General features: G+C 46.2%; 1 pseudogene; it reads right to left on the bottom strand.

Moving 5' to 3' along the window:
• LOC652608 (60S ribosomal protein L6-like) lies at positions 1-2532 on the bottom strand (annotated as a pseudogene).
• Between the last annotated feature and the right edge of the window lie 3772 nt (positions 2533-6304).

The following is a 6304-nucleotide window of genomic DNA, read 5'->3' as shown; positions in this document are numbered from 1 at the left end:
TTAGAACACCAATTTGTGAGGATAGATTCCATTCGTCAGGACAAACACAGATCCTAGGTAGCCCTGGAGCTGAGGAATAGCTTTGATTTTTGGTGAAATCTGTGCGTCCACAGCTTTCTAATCAATCTCACGCTGCTACATAATCTCATATTTCTCTTTTTCTGTGTCGACGATGGCACCTTCCTGGTGTCTGGGCTTCTGCAGCTGCTGCTTCTTGAAGTAAGCATCAGTAAGATGTTTTGGGATTTTTACATTGCTGATACCGATTTTGGTTGAGGTGGCAATGACAAATTTCTGGTGCGTTCTTCGTGGAGGGACTCGATTGAGGACCAGAGGTCCAGTCACGAGTAACAAGCCACTAGCCAGCTGCTTCAGGAAAACCATCACTCTCCTGGTGTCTGGGCTTCCACAGCTTCTTCTTCTTCAAGTCAGCATCACTAAGATGTTTTGAGATTTTTACATTGCTGATACCGATTTTGGTTGAGGTGGCAATGACAAATTTCTGGTGCGTTCTTCGTGGAGGGACTCGATTGAGGACCAGAGGTCCAGTTACGAGTAACAAGCCACTAGCCAGCTGCTTCAGGAAAACCATCACTCTCCTGGTGTCTGGGCTTCCACAGCTTCTTCTTCTTCAAGTCAGCATCACTAAGATGTTTTGAGATTTTTACATTGCTGATACCGATTTTGGTTGAGGTGGCAATGACAAATTTCTGGTGCGTTCTTCGTGGAGGGACTCGATTGAGGACCAGAGGTCCAGTTACGAGTAACAAGCCACTAGCCAGCTGCTTCAGGAAAACCATCACTCTCCTGGTGTCTGGGCTTCCACAGCTTCTTCTTCTTCAAGTCAGCATCACTAAGATGTTTTGAGATTTTTACATTGCTGATACCGATTTTGGTTGAGGTGGCAATGACAAATTTCTGGTGCGTTCTTCGTGGAGGGACTCGATTGAGGACCAGAGGTCCAGTTACGAGTAACAAGCCACTAGCCAGCTGCTTCAGGAAAACCATCACTCTCCTGGTGTCTGGGCTTCCACAGCTTCTTCTTCTTCAAGTAAGCATCACTAAGATGTTTTGAGATTTTTACATTGCTGATACCGATTTTGGTTGAGGTGGCAATGACAAATTTCTGGTGCGTTCTTCGTGGAGGGACTCGATTGAGGACCAGAGGTCCAGTCACAAGTAACAAGCCACTAGCCAGCTGCTTCAGGAAAACCATCACTCTCCTGGTGTCTGGGCTTCCACAGCTTCTTCTTCTTCAAGTCAGCATCACTAAGATGTTTTGAGATTTTTACGTTGCTGATACCGATTTTGGTTGAGGTGGCAATGACAAATTTCTGGTGCGTTCTTCGTGGAGGGACTCGATTGAGGACCAGAGGTCCAGTCACAAGTAACAAGCCACTAGCCAGCTGCTTCAGGAAAACCATCACTCTTGCCCATGTGGCCTCCAGTGAGGAGGATCCGAATGGTCCCGGGCATAATGCTGGCTCGCCGTTTTCTCACGTGCTAACTGGTACATCTTCAGTAGGATTGTCGTACCCAGGCGAGTTAGTGAGAACGCCACACTTTGAGACGAATTAAGAGTCCTTTATTAAGCCGGCGGCCAAAGAGACGGCTAACGCTCAAAATTCTCTCGGCCACGCGGAAGGGGCTCGATTAACTTTTATACCTAGGTTTAGGAAGGGGAGGGGGACTCAAATGTAATAATTCTAGAGAAGTAAAAACATGCAAGAATGAAAAAAATCAAAAGGGTTACAGAGTGATAAACAACTTAAAAGACAAATGGTGACAAGAAGAGCAACGGTAGCAGGTGCAAGGTTCTAAATCTTTCATTATAATTAGATATACGGTCTATGCAGGACACAAACTGAAGGTTTTATGTTGTTATCTCTTGGAGGAAAATTCCTGGGGAACTTCATACATTGTGGGTGCCAGTACCTTATTAGTTAATTGGGCTCGTTTGAAATGCTGAGGATCTGTTTACCCAGGCCAACTCCTTAGGAAAGGGGGTTGGGTGAGGAGCCCTTAGAGTCTTGAAAATTAAGTGGTCAATTGGAGTTTGTCCGGCTTTCCCACCTAGAGAGAGTCTCATTTACATGAGAAGCAGGTCTAGGTGATTAAAGAGACAAGCAGAACAATATTCAAAGTAACAAGTTAAAGTAAAAACAAGGGTAGGCATTTCAGGATAATACCTAGGCATTTTGCGAAGTTTAACCACGCGGGTACCTCCGTCCTTGTCACCGCCAACTGGTTGTGTAACGGTCGCAAGAACCTTCTCCTTCTTTTTCTTTTCAACGTTGGATTTAGTGGCTGAGTACTTCCTCTTGTACACGGCCTTCCCGGAATACACGGGAGATATAGGGATTGCCTGCCAATTCCTCTGACAAGGACACGGTTGTGGCTGCAATGGGGCTTCCTCTTCTTGGGCCTTTTAGCCTTGAGGTGACGGTTTTTCACCTCGCCACCAGCATCAGCCTTCTTGGCTTCAGGTTTCTTCTCTTTAGTATCTGCCTTCTCAACTTTTTCACCTGCCATCGTGCAAGATGGGAAAGAGAGTTTCCAGGGATATTCTTAAGGAAGGAGACCAGTACTCCTCCTGCTGCCATCGTCCCCTCACCTTGCCTAGTTCACAAGACAGGAGGAGAGAAAAAGCAAGAAGTTGGAAAAAAAAACAAAAAAAAAACCCACAAAAGTAATGTAGCAGGACGAGCCTCAGACAAAACCTCTCAGACACCAAGCTGTAGAAGGAAGGGCTTTATTCAGCTGGGAGCATCGGGAAGCTACTGCCTTAAAATCCCAGCTCTCCAAATGCACAATTTCTGTCCCTTTTAAGGGCTCACAACACTAAAGATTTTACATGAAAGGGTCGTGATTGATTTGAGCGGGCAAGGGGTACGTGACAGGGGCTGCGTGCACCTGTGGTCAGAGAGAAACAGAACGGGGCAGGGAGTTTCGCAGTGTTCTTCTATACGACGTCTGGAATCTATGAATAACATCGGTTTCTAAGTTATGAGTTGAGTTTTAACTACTGGGTTTAGGGCCGGCAGCCCCAGGCCTGGTTTCGGGCCTGGCGCCGGGCTGCCTGTCTTTGATCTCACTTCCTTGCTGTTTTCTTAAAACAGGTAATGAGTATAAAACAACATAAAACAATATGAGAGGGTCTCTCTCTTCCCTCAGTGAAGGGGTGGCCTGCCCCTCCACACCTGTGGGTATTTCCAGTCGGGTGGGACGAGAGACTGAGAAAGAGAAATAAAACACAGAGACAAAGTATAGAGAAACAACAGTGGGCCCAGGGGACCAGCGCTCAGCATACCAAGGACCTGCACCGGCACCGGCCTCTGAGTTCCCTCACTTTTTATTGATTATTATTTTCATTATTTCAGCAAAAAGGAATGTAGTAGGAGAGCTGGGTGATAATAAGGAGAAGGTCAGCAACAAACATGTGAGCAAAAGAATCTATGTCGTAATTAGGTTCAAGGGAAGGTACTATGACTGGACGTGCACATAGGCCAGATTTATGTTTCTCTCCACCCAAATATCTCAGTGGAGTAAAGAATAACAAAGCAGCATTACTGCAAACATGTCTCACCTCCCACCATAGGGTGGTTTTTCTCCGATCTCAGAATTGAACAAATGTACAATCGGGTTTTATACCGAGACGTTCAGTTCCCAGGGGCAGGCAGGAGACAGTGGCTTTCCTCTATCTCAACTGCAAGAGGCTTTCCTCTTTTACCAATCCACCTCAGCACAGACCCTTTACGGGTGTCGGGCTGGGGGACGGTCGGGTCTTTCTCATCCCACGAGGCCATATTTCAGACTATCACATGGGGAGAAACAATACCCCGCTTGGACAATTGGACAATACCCGGCTTTCAAGGGCAGAGGTCCCTGCGGCTTTCCGCAGTGCATCGTGCCTCTGGTTTATTGAGACTAGAGAATGGCGATGAGTTTTACCAAGTATACCGCTCGTGAACATTTTGTTAACAAGGCACGTCCTGCACAGCCCTTGATTTCATAACCTCGATTTCATAAACCTTGATTTCCTACAACACATGTTTTTGTGAGCTCCAGGTTGGGTCAAAGTGGCTGGGGCAAACCTACACATTAACAACATCTCAGCAAAGCAATAGTTGAAAGTACAGGTCTTTTTCTAAATGGACTCTCTTATGTCTCTCCTTTCTCCATAGACACGGTCACAGTCTGATTTGTCTTTCTTTTCCCTACACCTCAGTAAGATAAGTAGCCAGACACCCTTGGCACCACCGCCCAGCCCTAGGAGTTAAAAAAAGTAAAAATAATAACATCAACCCCTGACCTAAACTACTTGTGTTATCTGTAAATTCCAGACACTGTATGAAAAAAACATTGTAGAACTTTTTGTGCTGTTGGCTGACGCGTGCAGCCCCCAGTCACATTCCCCACGCTTGCTCCATATATCACGACTCTTTCACGTGGACCCCTTAAAGCTGTAAGCCTTTGAAAAGGCCAAGAATTTCTTTCTCGGGGAGCTCGGCTCTTAAGACGTGAGTCTGCCGACGCTCCCGGCCGAATGAAAACCTGTTCCTTCTTTAATCTGGTGTCTGAGGAGTTTTGTCTGTACAGGCTCATCCTGCTACATTCTTAGCATGCTGGGCACACAGCAGGGGAGAGGAAAACTCTAGACCTGGGTTGGCTTCTGAACAAGCACATCTGTCTTGAGGCACGTGGGACCCTGTACTGTAAAATAATGCCAAGGCCGGGCGCGGTGGCTCACACCTGTCATCCCAGCACTTTGAGAGGAAGGGGCAGGTGGATCACCTGAGGCTGGGAGTTTGAGACCAGCCTGACCAACATAGAGAAACCCTGTCTCTACTAAAAATACAAAATTAGCCAGACGTGGTGGTGAGCGCCTGTAATCCCAGCTACTCGGGAGGCTGAGGCAGGAGAATTGCTTGAATCCGGGAGGCGGAGGTTGCAGTGAGCCCAGATTGCGCCATTGCACTCCAGCCTGGGCAACAAGAGCGAAACTCCGTCAAAAAAAAAAAAAAGAAAAAAAAGATTTCCCAAAGGAAGGAAGACAGTTCAGCAAATATTAAATAATAAAAGGATCAAATAAAAATGTTAAACAACCAGGGGGAGGGGGGAAGGATAGCATTAGGAGATATACCTAATGCTAAAGGACGAGTTAATAGGTGCAGCACACCAGCATGGCACATGTATACATATGTAACAAACCTGCACGTTGTGCACATGTACCCTAAAACTTAAAGTATAATAATAAAATTAAAAAAAATAAAAGCTGCACATACACTGAAAAAAAAAAAAGTTAAACAACCAAAATTAGAGCAGAAGCACCTAGCGAATTCTTTTATGCTGCCGTTCACCAGGAAAGCAAGAAATGCATTTGAAAGACAATTTCCACGAAAGCAAGAAATGCATTTGAAAGACAATTATCACGGAAGCAAGAAATGAATTTGAAAGATAATTTCCAAGAAAGCAAGAAATGCATTTGAAAGACAATTATCACGGAAGCAAGAAATGAATTTGAAAGATAATTTCCAAGAAAGCAAGAAATGCATTTGAAAGACAATTATCACGGAAGCAAGAAATAAATTTGAAAGCCAATTTCCACGGAAGCAAGAAATGCATTTGACAGACAATTATCACAGAAGCAAGAAATGCATCTGAAAGACAATTATCACGGAAGCAGGACATGAATTTGATAGACAATTTCCGCGGAAGCAAGAAATGCATTGGAAACACGATTTCCCTTCCCCCTTCCTCCTCCCTTCCCCCTCCCCCACTTCTCCTCCTCCCTTTCTCCTCCCCCTCCTCCTCCCTCCTCCTCCTCCCTCCTCCTTTTCTTCTCCACTTCTCTTCTCCTGCCCCTCCTCCTCCTACCTTCCTCGTCTCCCATCCTCTTCTCCCCCTCCACCTCCTCCTCCCTCCCCCTCCCTGTCCTCCTGCTCTTCTCCTCCTCTTCCCTTCCCCTCCTCCTCCTCCCTCGTCCTCACTTCCTCTTCCCTTCTCTCCCTCCTCCCACCTTCCTCTCCTCCTATCCTCTTCTCCTGATCCCCCTCCTCCTCCCTCCACCTCCTCCTTCTCTTTTTCTCCTCCTCTTCCCTTCCCCTCCTCCTCCATCTCTCCTTCCTCCTTCTCCCCTCCTCCTCTTCCTCTTTCTCCTCTTTGTTTTTCCCTCCCCCTACTCTTCCTCTCCCTCCTCCCCTCCCCATTCCCTTCTCTTTCTAGTACCATTCCCATTTACATTTTACAAACAGTTCCTCCAGTTCCACAGAAAAAACTATTGAAATGTTGATTTGAATTACAT

The sequence above is a fragment of the Homo sapiens genome, chromosome X (genome assembly GCF_000001405.40).
Source record: "Homo sapiens chromosome X, GRCh38.p14 Primary Assembly".
NCBI classification, from domain to species: domain Eukaryota; kingdom Metazoa; phylum Chordata; class Mammalia; order Primates; family Hominidae; genus Homo; species Homo sapiens.
The sequence above is the reverse complement of the archived record's forward strand: the minus strand, read 5'-3'. Positions and strand labels throughout refer to the sequence as shown.